Genomic DNA, 18,477 nt, shown 5'->3' on the forward strand with positions numbered 1-18,477 from the left:
TTAGCTCTCCTCAAACCTTCAACATCACCCATTTCATTTTCATTCCCAGATAAATTCTACTTCATGAAAAATTATTAAAGTACAAGTATACCGCAGAGACATTGCAGGTTCAGTTCTAGGCCATATTCTAATAACGAAAATCACATGACATTTTTGGTTTCCCAGTGCATATAAAAGTTATGCTTACAGTATATTGCAGTCTATTAAGTATGTAAAGCATTATGTATTAAAATGATATATATATCTTAATGTATAATAATTTATAGCTAAAAATGTTAATGATCATCTGAACCTTGAGCAAGTTGTAAGGTTTTTGCTGGTGGAAGGTCTTGCCTGGATGTTGATAGCTCCTGACTGATCAACGTGGTGGTTGTTGAAGGTTGGTGTGGCTGGGAAAATTTCTTAAAATAAAACAACAGTGAGGTTTGCTGCATCTATTTATTGACTCTTCTTTTCACAAAATACTTTTCTGTAGTGTGTTATGTTATTTGACAGCATTTTACCCACAGTAGAACTTCTTTCAAAATTGGAGTCTAACCTCTCAACCCTGCCACTGCTTTATCAACTAAGATTATGTAATATTCTAAATCCTTTGTTGTTGTTTCAACAATGATCACACCATCTTCACCAGTGATAGATTCCATTTCAAGAAACTATTTTCTTTGTTCATCCATAAGAAACAATTTCTTACTCATTCAACTTTTATCATGAAGTTGCAGCAATTCAGTCCCAGGCTCCACTTCTACTTCTAGTTCTGTTGCTATTTCCAACATATCTACCATTACTTTATTTATTTTAATTGTTAGTTTTTATGGGTACATAGTAGGTGTACATGTTTACAGGATACATGAAATATTTTCATACCGGCATTCAATATGTAATAATCACATCAGGATAAATGAGGTATCCATCACTTCAAGCATATGTCCTTTCTTTCTGTTACAAACAATCCAATTATATCCTTTTAGTTATTTTAAAATATACAATACAATATTCTTGACTATAGTCACCCTATTATGCTATCAAATGCTAGATCTAATTCATTCTATCTAACTATATTTTTGTACCCATTAACCATCCCCACTTCCCACACCCAACTATCCTTCCCAGCCTCTGGTAACCTAATTCTAAATCCTTTGTTTTCATTTCAACAATGTTCATACCATCTTCACCAGGGGTAGGTTCCATCTCAGTAAACCATTTTCTTTGTTCCTCCATTAGAAACAATTGTGTAGATATACTACATTTTCTTTATACATTTATCTGCTGAAGACAACTTAGGTTGATTCCAAATCTTGGCTATTGTGAATAGTGTTCAAATAAACCTGGGAGTGCAGATGTATCTTCAATATACTGATTTCTTTTCTTTGGGTACATACCAAGCAGTGAAATTGCTAGATCATACGGTACTTTCATTTTTATAATTTTGAGAAACCTCCATATTGTTCTCCATGGTAGCTGTATTAATATACATTCCCACCAACAGTGTACAAGTGTTCCCTTTTCTCTACAACCTTGCAAGCATTTGTTATTATCTGTCTTTTGGATGAAAGCCATTTTAACTGGGGTGATATGATATTTCATTATAGCTTTGATTTGCATTTTCTGATAAACAATGGTGTTGAGCACTTTTTCATATACCTGGTTGCCATTTATATGTCTTCTTTTGAGAAATGTCTATTCAGACCTGTTGCCCATTTTTAAATCAGATTATTAGATTTTTTTCCAATAGAGTTGATTGGGGTTCTTATACATTCTGGTTATTAATCCTTTGTCAGATATATAGTTTGCAAATATTTTTGCCAAGTCTGTGTGTTGTCTCTTCACTTTGTTGGTTGTTTTCTTTCCTGTGCAGAAGCTTTTTAACTTGATATAATTCCATTTGTCCATGTGTTTGCTTTGGCTGCCTGTGCTTTTGGGGTATCACTCCAGAAATCTTTGCCCAGACCAATGTCCTGGAATTTTTTCCTAATGTTTTCTCTTAGCAGTTTCGTAGTTTGAGGTCTTAGACTTAAGTCTTTAATCTGCTCTGATTTTATTTTTGTGTATGGTTAGAGATAAGGGTCTAGTTTTATTCTTCTGCATACAGACATCCAGTTTTCCCAGCACCATTTATTGAAGAGACTGTTCTTGCCCCAATGTATGCTCTTGGCACCCTTATATAAAATGAGTTCACTGTCAATTTGTAGACTGATTTCTGGGTTCTCTTTTCTGTTCCATTGGTTTATGCATTTATTTCTATGACAGTACCATGCTGTTTTGGTTACTATATAGGTATAGCTCTGTAGTATGATTTGAAGTCAGGTAATGCGATTCCTTCCCATTTGTTGTTGTTCTTGTTTTTCTCAGGATGGCTTTGGCTATTTTGGGTGTTTTGTGTGTCCATATAAGTTTTAGGATTATTTTCTATCTTTCCATAAAGAATGTCCATGGTAGTTTTATACAGATTGCATTGAATCTGTAGGCTGCTTTGGGTAGTATGGGCATTTTAATAATATTGGTTCTTCCAATCCACAAACATGGAATATATTTCCATTTTTGTGTGTGTCCTCTTTAATTACTTTTATCAATGTTTTATAGCTTTCATTATAGAGATCTTTTACTTCTTTGGTTAAGTTTATTCATATATATTTTATTTTATTTATAGCTATTATAAATGGGGTTACATTCATAATTTATTTTTCAGATTGTTCACTGTTAGCTTACAGAAATGCTGCTAATTTTTGTATGTTGATTTTCTATCCTACAACTTTACTGAATTTGTTTATCAGATCTAACAGATGTTTTTGGATGCAGTCTTCAGGTTTTTTTCAAATAAAATATTATATCATCTGAAAAGAAGGATACTTTGTTTTCTTTCTTTCCAGTTGGGATGCCCTTTATATGTTTATCTTGTTGCTCTAGCTAGGACTTCCAGTACTATGTTGTTGTGGTGAAAGTGGGCATCCTTGTCTTGTTGCGGATCTTAGAAGAAAGGCTTGTGGTTTTTCCTCATTCAGTATAATAATAGTCATGTATCTAACATATATGGTTTTTCTTGTGTTGAGGTGTATTCATTCTAGACCTGGTAACTTGATGGTTTTTATCATGAAGGGATGTTGAATTTTATTAAATGATTTCTCAGCATCAATTGAAATAATCATATGATTTTTGTCCATTCTGTTGATATGATGTGTCACATTGATTTTCATACGTTTAATCTTCCTTTCATCCTTTGGATAACTCCCACTTGGTTAAGAAGAATGATCTTTTTAATGTGTTGTTGAATGCCGTTTGCTGGTATTTTGTTAAGGATTTTTGCATCAATGTTCATCAGGGATATTGGCCTGTAGTTTCCTTTTTTCATGTGTCCTTGTCTGATTCTGGTATCAGGGTAACACTGACCTCATAGAATGAGTTTGAGAGTATTCTCTCCTCCTCTATTTTTCAGAATAATTTTAGTAGAATTGGTATTAGCTGTTCTTTAAATGTTGGTAAAATTCAGCAGTGAAGCCATTGGGTCCCAGGCTTTTATTTGCTGGGGGACTTTTTACCACAGCTTCGACCTTGTTAAATACTTATTATTGGACTGTTCAGGTTTTGGATTTCTTCTTGGTAAGTTGTATGTTTCTAGGAATTTAACCATTTCTTCTAGATTTTCCAATGTTTTGGCGTATTGTTGCGAATAGTAAACTCTAATAATCCTTTGAATTTTTGCAGCATCAGCATCTTCCTTTTTCATCTGTTTTATTTTTTTATTTGGGTCTTCTCTCTTTTTGTCTTAGTCTGGCCAAAAGTTTGTCAATTTTGTTTATCTTTTAGAAAGTCAACTTTTCATTTTGTTGATTTTTATATTTTCTTTGTTTCAGTTACATTTATTTTTTCTAAGATCTTTATTATTTCTTTTCTCATACTAATTTTCTTCTACTAATTGCTAGGTTATTTAAAGTTTTTCTACTTTTTGATATAGGCACTTATATCTATAAACTTTCCTCTCATTGCTGCTTTTGCTGTATCCCATAGGTTTTGATATGCTGTGTTTTTATTATCAATAAATTCTTCTATTTCCTTTTCAATTTCTTCATTGAGACAGTGGTCATTAAGGAGCATATTGTTTAATTTCTATGTGTTTGTATAGTTGCCAAAATTCTGCTTGTTATTGATTTGTAATTTTATTCCATTGTGGTCAGAGAATATACTTAATAAGATTTCAAATTTTTGAATTTTTAATACTCATTTTACTGCCTAACATATGGTCTATCCTTGAGAATGATCCATGTGCTGAGGACAAAAATGTTTATTTTGCAACCATTGGATGACATGTTCTGTAAATATCACTTTAGATACATTTGGTCAATAGTACAGATTAAATTTGATGTTTCTTTGTTAATTTTCTGCAGAGAAGATTTGCCCAATGCCGAAAGTGGGGTGCTGAAGTCCTCGAGCTATTATTGCATTAGAGTCTATCCCTCTTTAGCTCTAACAATATTTGCTTTATATATCTGCATACTCCAGTGTTGGGTGCATATATATTTGTAATTGCTATATCACCTTGCTGAATTGACCCCTTTATCATTATATAGTGACTTTCTTTGTCTCTTCTTATAGCTTTTGTCTTGAAATCTATTTTGTCTGATATAATTAGTCTTGTTTTTTATGTTGTTGTTGTTTCCACTTGCCTGAAATATCTTTTTCTATTCCTTTATTTTCAGTTTATGTATGTCTTTGTAGGTAAAGTGTATTTCCTGTAGGCAATTACTCTCTGACTAGGGCTTATCTAAATCTTCCCTCTCTGGGTGCCAGCTGAGCTCTGCCCAGTGTTACTTTCTGCTGTGACAGGGCAGCATCGACTTCCAATGCAAGGTCCCACTATTGCTGCGCTTTCCCTCCCCCAAGAACACAGATTTTGTGGGCTATGCAACTGCTGCTAGAGATTGGGGAAGGGGTGGTATCTTCAATTCAAGACATTCCTACCTCTTTCAGTTAAAACTAGGTGTTGTGATCATGCACCTAATTTTTGGTTCTTATAAAGGTGGCTTTTTGTGAGGATAGTTGTAAAAATTGGTGTTCTTCCTGGAAGGACAATCAGTGGAGGCTTCTATTCAGCCAGCTTTCTATTTTTTGCAGTTTCTTTCTCTACTGGTGCTTTAAACCCCTTAAAATTATCCAAGAGGGTTGGAATCAACTTCTTTTTATTTATTTATTAATTATACTTTAAGTGTTAGGGTACATGTGCACATTGTGCAGGTTAGTTACATATGTATACATGTGCCATGCTGGTGCGCTGCACCCACTAACTCGTCATCTAGCATTAGGTATATCTCCCAATGCTATCCCTCCCCCCTCCCCCCACCCCACCACAGTCCCCAGAGTGTGATATTCCCCTTCCTGTGTCCATGTGATCTCATTGTTCAATTCCCACCTATGAGTGAGAATATGCGGTGTTTGGTTTTTTGTTCTTGCGATAGTTTACTGAGAATGATGATTTCCAATTTCATCCATGTCCCTACAAAGGACACAAACTCATCATTTTTTATGGCTGCATAGTATTCCATGGTGTATATGTGCCACATTTTCTTAATCCAGTCTATCATTGTTGGACATTTGGGTTGGTTCCAAGTCTTTGCTATTGTGAATAATGCCACAATAAACATACGTGTGCATGTGTCTTTATAGCAGCATGATTCATAGTCATTTGGGTATATACCCAGTAATGGGATGGCTGGGTCAAATGGTATTTCTAGTTCTAGATCCCTGAGGAATCGCCACACTGACTTCCACAATGGTTGAACTAGTTTACAGTCCCAGCAAGTGTAAAAGTGTTCCTATTTCTCCACATCCTCTCCAGCACCTGTTGTTTCCTGACTTTTTAATGATTGCCATTCTAACTGGTGTGAGATGGTATCTCATTGTGGTTTTGATTTGCATTTCTCTGATGGCCAGTGATGATGAGCATTTTTTCATGTGTTTTTTGGCTGCATAAATGTCTTCTTTTGAGAAGTGTCTGTTCATGTCCTTTGCCCACTTTTTGATGGGGTTGTTTGTTTTTTTCTTGTAAATTTGTTTGAGTTCATTGTAGATTCTGGATATTAGCCCTTTGTCAGATGAGTAGGATGCAAAAATTTTCTCCCATTGGTTGCCTGTTCACTCTGATGGTAGTTTCTTTTGCTGTGCAGAAGCTCTTTAGTTTAATTAGATCCCATTTGTCAATTTTGGCTTCTGTTGCCATTGCTTTTGGTGTTTTAGACATGAAGCCCTTGCCCATGCCTATGTCCTGAATGGTATTGACTAGGTTTTCTTCTAGGGTTTTTATGGTTTAAGGTCTAACACATAAGTCTTTAGTCCATCTTGAATTAATTTTTATATAAGGTATAAGGAAGGGTTCCAGTTTCAGCTTTCTACATATGGCTAGCCAGTTTTCCCAGCACCATTTATTAAATAGGGAATCCTTTCCCCATTGCTTGTTTTTGTCAGGTTTGTCAAAGATCAGATGGTTGTAGATATGTGGCATTATTTCTGAGGGCTCTGTTCTGTTCCCTTGGTCTATTTCTCTGTTTTGGTACCAGTACCATGCTGTTTTGGTTACTGTAGCCTTGTAGTATAGTTTGAAGTCAGGTAGCGTGATGCCTCCAGCTTTGTTCCTTTGGCTTAGGATTGACTTGGCAATGCGGGCTCTTTTTTGGTTCCATATGAACTTTAAAGTAGTTTTTTCCAATTCTGTGAAGAAAGTCATTGGTAGCTTGATGGGGATGGCATTGAATCTGTAAATTACCTTGGGCAGTATGGCCATTTTCACGATATTGATTCTTCCTACCATGAGCATGGAATGTTCTTCCATTGTTTGTATCCTCTTTTATTTCCTTGAGCAGTGGTTTGTAGTTCTCCCTGAAGAGGTCCTTCACATCCCTTGTAAGTTGGATTCCCAGGTATTTTACTCTCTTTGAAGCAATTGTGAATGGGAGTTCACTCATGATTTGGCTCTCTGTCTGTTATTGGTGTATAAGAATGCTTGTGATTTTTGTACATTGATTTTGTATCCTGAGACTTTGCTGAAGTTGCTTATCAGCTTAAGGAGATTTTGGGCTGAGACGATGGGGTTTCCTAGATATACAATCATGTCATCTGCAAACAGGGACAATTTGACCTCCTCTTTTCCTAATTGAATAGCCTTTATTTCGTTCTCCTGCCTGATTTCCCTGGCCAGAACTTCCAACACTATGTTGAATAGGAGTGGTGAGAGAGGGCATCCCTGTCCTGTGCCAGTTTTCAAAGGGAATGCTTCCAGTTTTTGCCCATTCAGTATGATATTGGCTGTGGGTTTGTCATCGATAGCTCTTATTATTTTGAGATACGTCCCATCAATACCTAATTTATTGAGAGTTTTTAGCATGAAGGGTTGTTGAATTTTGTCAAAGGCCTTTTCTGCATCTATTGAGATAATCATGCGGTTTTTGTATTTGGTCTGTTTATATGCTGGATTACATTTATTGATTTGCATATGTTGCATCAGCCTTGCATCCCAGGGATGAATCCCACTTGATCATGGTGGATAAGTTTTTTGATTTGCTGCTGGATTCGGTTTCCCAGTATTTTATTGAGGATTTTTGCACTGATGTTCATCAGGGATATTGGTCTAAAAGTCTCTTTTTTTGTTGTGTCTCTGCAAGACTTTGGTATGAGCATGATGCTGGCCTCATAAAATGAGTTAGGGAGGATTCCCTCTTTTCCTGTTGATTGGAATAGTTTCCGAAGGAATGGTACCAGCTCCTCCTTGTACCTCTTGTAGAATTCAGCAGTGAATCCATCTGGTCCTGGACTTTTTTTGGTTGGTAAGCTATTGATTATTGCCTCAGTTTCTATGCACACATTCTTGTCCCCAACACTCCACCTAAACCTTGCAAACACATACACTCTAATTTCAACAAAACAGAAAAAGAGGTACTTTATACCAGTCAGTTCATGTCAGTCCTCTGTTCAAATTCCTCTAATGACATCTAATTTCAATTCTTGTAAAAGACAATACCTTTACAATGGCCTACAAGGCCATACATGATCTGTATTTTTATAAAAATCCAAATAATCTGGCCATGAAGTCTTTGTACTATTTTTTCCTTACTAACTTCACACCAGCTACGTGAGTTTCTCTAACACACATGCTTCTTCATCCTAAGTGCCATTCTCCTGACTGATCCCTTTGCCTAGAATTCTCCTCTTTCCAGTTTACATTTGGATAACTCCCCTATCTTCCCCAAGTGCTCTAATGTCACCTTACCAATTAACCCTACCATGACCATCCTATGTAAAATCGCAAACTCTTCACACATACCTACCCCTTACTGTCTTCTTGCTTTTTTCCTAAATAAACATTTTAATTTAGAATAGTTATTGATTTTCAGAAAAATTGGGAGTATAGTACAGAGATTTCCTGGACTCTGCATACCGACTTTCCCCTATTATTAACATGTTACATTAGTATGGTACGTTTGGTAAAATTAATGAAAAAATATTCATACATTATTGTGAAGGAAGTCTAAAGTCTATAGCTCAGATTTCCTTAGTTTTAACTAATGTCTTTTTTTCTGTTCAGGACCAATTCTTTATTCCACATTACATTGATTTGTCATGTCCCTTTAAGTTCCTCTAGGCTGTGACAGTTGCTCAGACTTTGTTTTTGATGACTTTGACAGCTTTACATGACCAGAATAAATGTGGCCATATATTTGGTATAATGTCTCTCAGTTGGGATATGTCTGATTTTTATTCATGATTAGGCTAGGCTTATGTGTTTTTAGGGAAAGACCACAGAAGTAAAGTGCCATTGTAATTACATCATGTCAAAGGTACATATTATCAACATGACATTGCTGTTGATGTTAACCTTGTTGACCTGGCTGAGGCAATGTTTGTCAGATTTCCCTACTTCAAAATTTCCTCCTTTTCACTTTGTACTCTTCCAGAGGAAATCACTGTCTGCAACGCACAGTTAAGGTGTGAGGATTTATGTTCTACCTTCTTTACTGTGGAGTATCTACATAAAACATTTGGAATTCTTCTCCACAGGAGATCTATTCTCCCTCCTCAATTTATATCTTTATATATGAAATGTTTTCATCAGTATATAGTGTGGTGTATGAACACTTATGTTATGCTTTGGTTTATATTCCAATTCTACTGAATTTATTTTGTTGTCAAGTTGATACAACTTTGGGCATTGGGAACTCTCAGTTGGCTTTCATGTCCCTTTGATATATCTTCATAACAGTGTGTGTGTGTGTCTGTGTAGTTGTTTGTGAGTTTTTTTTTTATTGTTTTCTTACTTTTTAGCACTAAAACTACACATGGCTCATCTTGTGTATTTTCCAGCCTACTCTTAGAATCATTCATCTCTCCAAGGAGCCCTGGTTTCTATTAATGCATAATGGTTTTAGAAACCAAGATCTAGGTGATAGATGCACTCATTGTTACTGGGATATTGCTGTTTCTAAGCTCTCTCAGCTTACAAAATGAGAAAATATATTTATGTATGCTAACCCATGTATCTACATGTAACTATATATATTTCTATATGTAGCCATATGTATTTATACTAAGCTAATCCTGAGTTCATACTGATGTCTCCAATTCTAATCCATGACCATAAACCCAGATAATTCTGGGTTTCTTCTCTTGCTTGTTTGTAAACTCCTGCTCCAACAGTGAGAAACATAGTTTGCACCATTTGCCAAACTTTTACTTAATTTTTCAATTTCAGTACACATTCACAGCAGCATTACAGATATTAACCCATACACCCAAGGGAAACAACTTTATCAGTTGGAATACAGTACTGGGTTCAGTTTCTTTTGCAAATATTCTTACATATGCCACTCATTTCCAGTTACTTGGGACAGTACCATTTTCCCTATCCACTCAGTGATATGGTTTTATATGATTGTGATACAGTTAGATTACTTTTTATCACATTTTGCATTCTATCCTGAGATCCCTTGATCTCCTAATGGATTTGTTGAATTTGTATACATCATAGTTCAGTCTTACTTCTGTGAAGTTGTATAGATTTTCATAAGTGAATAGGGGCATTTATCCACAATTACAGCATCATACAGCACCATCATAGAATATTCTTGTGTTTCATCTGTTTAATGGTCCCTTTCATCCAAAGACTTTGAAAAACACTGATCTTTTTACTATCTCTATAATTTCGCCTTCCCTAGATTTCACATAATTAGGATTATATAATTTGCAGTCTTTTCAGACTGGCTGCTTCTACTTAGCAACATGCACTTAAGATTCATTTATGTCTTTGTGGGCTTGATAGTCATGTTTTTCTATAACTGGATAATATTCCATTGTGTGACTATACCAGAATTTGTTTATTCATTCACCTTGCTTGCTTTCAGTTTTTGGCAATAATAAATAACAGTGTTATAAATATTTGGGTACATGTGTTCGTATGGACACAAGTTTTCAAGTCAATTCGTTCAATATCTAGAAGCATGTTTGCTGCATCATGTGGTTAGATTACATTTAGCTTTGTAAAAAGCTGTTAAACTGTCTTTCAAAGTGATCATACCATTTTTAATTACTAGTATCAATGAATGGTTTTCCTTTTGTTACATAACCTCACAAGTAATTGGTATTATTAGATTTTCTTATTTTATTTTATCCATCCTAAGTGTTGTATAGTGATCCCTTATTTTAATTTGCAATTCCCTAATGACAAATGATATTTTATAGCTTTTCATATGCTTCTTTATCATTAGTTTTATTTTCATATAACATTTATGACTTTTAATGTACCACCAAATATATACATTTATTTTTCTCTCATCTGTCTTATGTAGTATAATGGAAATCCCAGGATAATCTTGACTCCTTTTTTTCACTGAAATATCTTAAGTACCTAATTTCCCATAAGTTTCCAATAAATACTTAGCAAACGAATAAATTGAAATTCGATCTAAGAAAGAGAGGGATAAATAAAGTATACTAATGGAGAACAGCAGCCAATGACATAGAAGAAAAACAAGAAACATCTGTGGTAATGTGGATGAGGACAGAAAAAAATCAACAATTGCTTTACTCTTAGGCAAGGTTAATAACACAAAACCAAAGATGTGTCCATTTGATTTTAAAGCACGTATGTCATCAGTGATAATAACATAAAGTTTCTCAGTAGAGAATTAGGGTTAAAAGTCTTGTTTATGGAAAAAAAAAAAGCAGAAAGTGAAGAGTCTAAGCCACAACTAAAACAATTCATTCAAAAAATTTGTTTCTAGGGGAAACTGCAGTAATTGGGAATCACAATGGCTCAAGGTAGGATATTGATTAAACATAGCATATACTATGCATGCTTCTAAGCTGATAGGAATATCTAGTGGAATAGAAATTGGTTATGTAGGAACTGAATACGTTAGAGGAGCACATATGTAAGAAGGTAAAAATACAAAGCAAAAATGAAAAAGTTTTGCTTTAAGTGTAAGAACACTTCATCTAGTATAAGAGGAGAAAAGAGAAACTAAAAGATTGGGTATAGACAGATATAGGTAGGGTGAAAGACTTGTTGCTGGGATATTGGTAGATTTCTTGTCAATATTTACCAATTACTTTATGGAAATGATACCAATTTATAGCGATAATGAAGACAATAGTGGTACAGAGGTATATAGGAGACTAAGGAGAGAGGAAATTAACAATGATAACTACTTGTTTTGAAGAATGAGGAAGTGTTAACATATGGGAGAAGCGCAGTAATATTACCCAGTAGGAAGGGGCAGCAGATGAGTCTGGTAACAAAAGTGGCAAGAAGAAGCCCATACGACAGCATAAGAAGCTGGCCAGGGACATGGACAGAAACAAAAAGAGGAGCAGAATAAACTCAAAAAACTAAAATCAAAGGCTGCAGGAAAGATTCACCTGGCCACAGTTGGGATTAAGAAATGTGGCAAAAAGCAATCTGTTCCTTGTACCTGAGGCAAAGGCACCTTTTGATTTCATTCCTGTTTAAACATCTGAATTCTCTGCCATAACATCTATTGCCACCTATAGCTAGAATTAAATGTTGTCTTGGAGCCTGTGGTATATTTAAGAATAAACTTTTGTTTTTAAAAAATCATACAGTGTCTCACTGTCTCTTCATTTCATCTCACTCAGCCATTCCTACCATACTGTGAAGTCAAAGTCAACCCAGCCCAGAGTGCTACCAGAATGTACTTTTGTCTTTGTTCTACCCCCAAATTCTGTATCAACTGGAATTACAACTTATTTGAAAAAAAAATGCCTAGTAATATTGAATTTCCATCTGGAATTTATGCTTATAGATTTCAAGTAATAAATTCAGCATGTAGGTTTCTCTCCACAATTGCACAGAGATGTAGCCATGGTTTTGTCACAAAATGTGATTTAACCATGTAAGGATATGGTTAAACTATTGGAATCAAAGCAGAGGGGAATACGTAAATCAAGGTTACATTTTTAAGAAATTGGTATGATGACATAACAATATGTCTAATCTGTATAAAAATAATAATATGAGATGCACGATGATTAGTAAAATATAGAAAAATAAATCAATTTGATGTCTTCATAGGGTGGTATAACTTGCAGACTGGAATTTACTAGAGAAAATCAAGTACTAGAACAAGAAATTATTATCTTTGAGACTTCAGAATGGGAGAAGTTATTAATGTTTCAACCATAGTCATAGACAGTTGATAAGTGATGGAAGAAAATATCATTGCAGTTTAGATAGAGTAACTAAGAGAGAAAGTGTTGATTTTAAAATTGTCAATAATGGTGATAGGATTCAAAGACAGATTAAGAGAGTAAGTCAAGTCCTAAAATGACTTACTAATAATTGAGTGGTCCATGAACAGAGTTTGGTAGTTGTTAGCAGCAGAGAAAATAAAGTCTAATCACATGAACTTCGAAGGAGACTGAACATTTAAAGGAGGAGGAAGGAGAGAAGCTTTGAAATAATACTAGAAAACGGGGAATATATGAAAGAAATAACAGGTTCAATTATAGCTGGCTGAACTGTCCAGGACACTAGTCTCTTAGGTATTCAGGAGGACCAGGATCTTGAGGGCCTTGTCTCTTTGTGGCATGGTAAGGTGTCAGTCTGTTGACAAGATGTTGTGTCACTTGGAGCAGCAGGCCTGGCACTGACCCTTCTGTCTGACAGGTTGGTGATTGCAGGAGTTGGATCAGAAGAAAGGTATTAAAAAGATCTCTTATCTTCTCTAGCAAAGTGATGTGAAATTGTAGGTCCATTTGGGGAGTTTCTCTTCATCAAAGAGTATTAGAAAGCAATTGAATAGTTTCAGATGGAACGGGAAACATGAAAATATTTAATCTGAAGTAAAATGTAAACCACAGTAGCTGATGTGTGGGTGATGTCTAGGGAGGGGAGGTAGAGTAATTGCAAGAAAAAATGAGGAGGCTCCTGATGAACTCTAAGGAGAAACTATAGTTATTTCAATCAGTGTGGTGCTTCTGGAAAAAAAGTGGACAAAGATGGCACATGTATCTGCATGTATATATGCATAAATGGATATCTGATTTAATACTGCACACACAGAAAATCGTCCATCTGAGTGGAGGTGTCAGGAGACAATGTAAGTGGAAAGAATGTTATGCCCTGTAAACTGACAGCAGTTGGGAGAAGAAAATCTGTGGACTTTCAGTCAACCATTGATTTCGAGGAATTGAGTAAATTTGTCTTAAATCTTAAAAATTTAGGTCCCTCCTAGAGTAAGGAATACAAATCTAGAGAATATTATATGTCTTTATGTCTATCTGTCTAAGCACACAAACACAACATACATACTAAATAATGGCTAATATATCAAAAATATTATTGTTTAAGAATAGATTTTATTTTTATAAGATCCCCAATGGATTTGGCTTTCATGTTTGAGTGGCAATCATTGTAATAGGCCACATCTTTCCTCTTTTACTCATACTCTTTATGAATTACTCTATAGTATTGAATTTTTTTTTATTTTATCATAACATAGATTATAAACTGAGATATATAAATGTGTTTTATATGTAAATGTGATTTTTATATTAATTCATCTTATTTCACAATATTAGATATAATAACCATGCAAACTGCTAATTAAACCAGATTTGTTTGTAATTCCTTTTAAATTGACATATATATATCACTGTCATTGAAATAAAAAAAATAGCATGGCTACTGTTCAACCCCTTTCACAATGCTTAAATTGATTAAGTATAAATTCTGCTTTGCACATCATGTAAAGGAAATACACATTTAATTTGTTGATATCTTGGAGATATATATCATGTATTATTACTACATTTTTAAAAGGCAACAAAACCCATTCAGTACGTTGATTTCTTTTTTGAGATGTATGTATGAGGACTGTTTTCTTCATTTCGATAATAAATTAAATAACCAAAGGCCTCAAGAGAAAGAATAATTTTGAAATTAATAAAGGTAGTTCAATGTAAAAAGAGAAAATATTAGTACTATTTCCAACCCAAGTATTCCACGGCTCCCATCTGGAAATATGTGCATGGCATAGAAGCCTATTATCATTTGAAGGTTTATAATTACTGTTAAATATATACATAGAATGCTATCATGATGGCTGTGGCTTTGTGATCTAACATACCCCAAAGAGGCAGCATTAAGATTTACTTTCTCCGAATAAAAACTTTTAAGAGAATGGACTTCTTTCCTAGAAATGCAAAGGCAAATATGAGGACAATCTTGATTAACAATGGCAGAAAGCCCATCAGATGAAAGGACTAACTGAAATTGCCAAAGCAACAAAGAAAAAGGGAACCAGTCAGTGTTTTCTCGCAGAGATCATTTAACTGGACTATTAAGGTATGTCCTGTATGGACTACACAGATAGAGCATGCACAAAATTTCCATGGAATATGCTTGTAATGAAATACTATGTAGAGGTTAAAATTATATTGTAACATAAAGACAAAATATTTTAATATAAATCAGTAAGTGAGAAAAATCACATTTCAGGAAAGAATATGCAGTACAATATTTTTTTAAAGAGAAGGGGATATGCTGTTCCAGTTATCACAATTTATTGCCTCTCAGCTTTCCAGCCAATGTATCATTTCCTTGCTTGCCACAATGGAGCTGGGTGTTGTAAACATCACTTTATTGCCAGTTGAGGTGCTGGAGGGATGCTAAGGAAGGAAGATGTTTCTTTTGCTGATTCTAGTGCACTTTACTCAGTTTGCCTCTGAGGGACTAACTATGCAGTTGTCCACACACACAAAATGGTGCTCACCTTCCTGTAGTTGCAGCCTGGGGTATTTGCACAGTAGTCTTGGTCCACCAGCTGTGGACCAGCCCTGTTTCAGAGTAACACAATAAACTTTATTGCCATCTCTTATGCTGGAGCTGTGCCTCCTCCATTGGCATCTAGATCCCATCCTTGGCGGGTGGGGGGATACTGTCAAGTTGGTTCCTTTTTCATTCACTTTCCCTTTTTTCACAGTTGTCTTTTATTCCCTCTTAGTAGCTAATTGCCTGTAAATAATTAATCCTCATACTGTGTCTTTCCTGTTAAGATTACTGTGTGATCTCTCTTTCCTGACTGGACCATGACTGATATACACTTTAGCACACACATACGAACACACACATAGATAATTGGAAAGTGATGTTTGGAACAATTAATAGTGATTATCATTTCTGGATGCTTATCTTTGAAGTACTCTTTATTTTCTTCTGTATATTTTTTGTATTGCCTAAATTCTCTACAATCATGCATTACCTTTTTTTTTTTTTTTTTTTTTTTTTTTTTTTTTGAGACGGAGTCTCGCTCTGTCGCCCAGGCTGGACTGTGGACTGCAGTGGTGCAATCTCGGCTCACTGCAAGCTCCGCTTCCTGGGTTCACGCCATTCTCCTGCCTCAGCCTCCCGAGTAGCTGGGACTACAGGCGCCCGCCACCGCGCCCGGCTAATTTTTTGTATTTTTAGTAGAGACGGGGTTTCACCTTGTTAGCCAGGATGGTCTCGATCTCCTGACCTCATGATCCACCCGCCTCGGCCTCCCAAAGTGCTGGGATTACATGCATTACCTTTGAAATCCAAAAATTTTAAACTAAATTTCAGAAAGCATTAATAAACTCTCCTAAGTTTAGAAAATAAACAGCCCCAGTATATTTAAAATAAAATAGGATCTAAATTTGAGAAGGCTTAGCTTGGGAGATTTTTTAATCATTCTTATTTTTATCTTGTATGTTTTAAAACGTTCAAAATGAAATTAGAAAGGAGCAAACACAATGAAATGCATTCAACAAAAAATGTCAGACACTTATGATATTGCATTTGTTATTATAAACTAATTGCTGTTGCAGACAAGAAAACAAAAAGTGGAATTACTTTTACAAACTTGTTCTAGATCAAAATTGCTCTATTTAGTGCCCTTTAAATGCAAAGTGACAGAGTATAAACCGATCCCACAGTATAGTAGATGCATTATCAGCATGCTGACATGGCCTCCTTTGCCTGTTCTCTCTGATTTAATGTCATCAGACACAAGGGATTTACAACATTCTCGGTAATAATGGAGAGGCTGAAAGCAGATGTGTGGATATTTTTAATGTTTTTTTTTTCCTTCCCCAAGTTTTGTTATTTAGTTAAGGCAATACTGTGGAGACAATCAGTATGTTGCAGAATGTAATAAAAATGAATATCAAGAGCAGATTACATTGATGGGAGAAAACTTCCTCATTTAAAAAAAAAAAAACAAGAAACAAAAACTTTTTCTCTATCAGAGTTTCAACAACTTGGAAACTTTTTTATTTTATTTTAAGTTCCAGGATACATATGTGGGATATGCAGGTTTGTTACATACATAAACGTGTGCCATGGTGATTCACTGCACCTATCAACCCATCATTTAGGTATTAAGCCCAGCATGCATTAGCTATTTATCCTGTTGCATTCCATCTCCCTGTCCTCACAACAGGCCGTAATGTGTGTTGTTCCTCTCCTTGCGCCCACGTATTCTCATTGAACAGCTCCCACTTACCAGTGAAGATGCATGGTGTTTGGTTTTCTGCTCCTGTGTTAGTTTGCAGGGAATAATGGCCTCCAGCTCCATCCATGTCCCTGCAAAGACATGATCTTGTCCCTTCACGTGGCTGCATAGTATTCCATGATGTATGTGTACCACATTTTCTTTATCCAGTCTATCATTGACGGGCATTTGGGTTGATTCCATGTCTTTACTATTATGAATAGTGCTGCAGTGAACATACACACGCATGTATCTTTATAATAGAATAATTTATATTCCTCTGGGCATATATCCAGTAATGGGATTGCTGGGTCAAATGGTATTTTTGGTTCTAGATCTTTAAGGAATCACTAAACTGTCTTTCACAATGGTTGAACTAATTTGCTTTCCCATCAATGGTGTAAAAGTGTTCCTATTTCTTCACAACCTCACCAGTTTCTTAACTTTTTAATAATTGCCATTCTGACTGGTGTGAGATGGTATCTCACTGTAGTTTTGATTTGCATTTCTCTAATGATCAGTGATGTTGAGCTTGTTTTCATATGTTTCTGGGCCACACAAATGCCTTCTTTTAAAAAGTGTCTGTCCATGTCCTTGGCAGACTTTTTAGTTTTTTTTTTATAAATTTGTTTAAGTTCCTTGTAGATTCTAGATATAAGACCATCATCAGATGGATAGATTGTGAATTTTTTTCTGACTCTATAGGTTGCCTGTTCCCTCTGATGACAGTTTCTTTTGCTGTGCACAAGCTCTTTAGTTAAATTAGATCCATTTGTCAATTTTTGCTTTTGTTGTCATTGCTTTTGGGAATTTCGCCATGAAACATTTTCCTGTGCCGATGTCCTGAATGGTATTGCCCAGATTTTCTCCTAGGGTTTTTGTAGTTTGGGGTTTTATATTTAAGTATTTAATCCTTCTAGAGTTACTTTTTGTATAAGGTGTAAGGAAGGTGTCCAGTTTCAGTTTTCTGCATATGGCTAGTCAGTATTCCCAGTACCATTTATTAAATGGAGAATCCTTTCCCCGTTGCTTTTTTTTTTGGTCAGGCTCATTGAATATCAGATGGTTGTAGATGTGTGGTGTTATTTTTGAGGTCTCTGTTCTGCTCCATTGGTCAATATGTCTGTTTTAGTAACAGTGTCATGCTGTTTTGGTTACTGTAGCCTTGCAGTATACTTTGAATTGAGGTAGCATGATGCCTCCAGTTTTGTTCTTTTTGCTTAGTATTATCTTGGCTATACTAGCTGTTTTATGGTTCCTTATGAATTTTAAAGTAATTTTTTTCTAATTCTGTGAAGAATGTCAATGGTAGAGTGATGGATGTAGCATTGAATCTGTAAATTACTTTGGGCAGTGTGGCCATTTTCATGATATTGATTCTTCCTATACATGAGCATGGAATGTTTTTCCATTTGTTTGCATCCACTGCTATTTCCGTGAGCAGTGATTTTTAGTTCTCCTTGAAAAG

This window comes from Homo sapiens, chromosome 6 (genome assembly GCF_000001405.40).
Source record: "Homo sapiens chromosome 6, GRCh38.p14 Primary Assembly".
NCBI classification, from domain to species: Eukaryota; Metazoa; Chordata; class Mammalia; order Primates; family Hominidae; genus Homo; species Homo sapiens.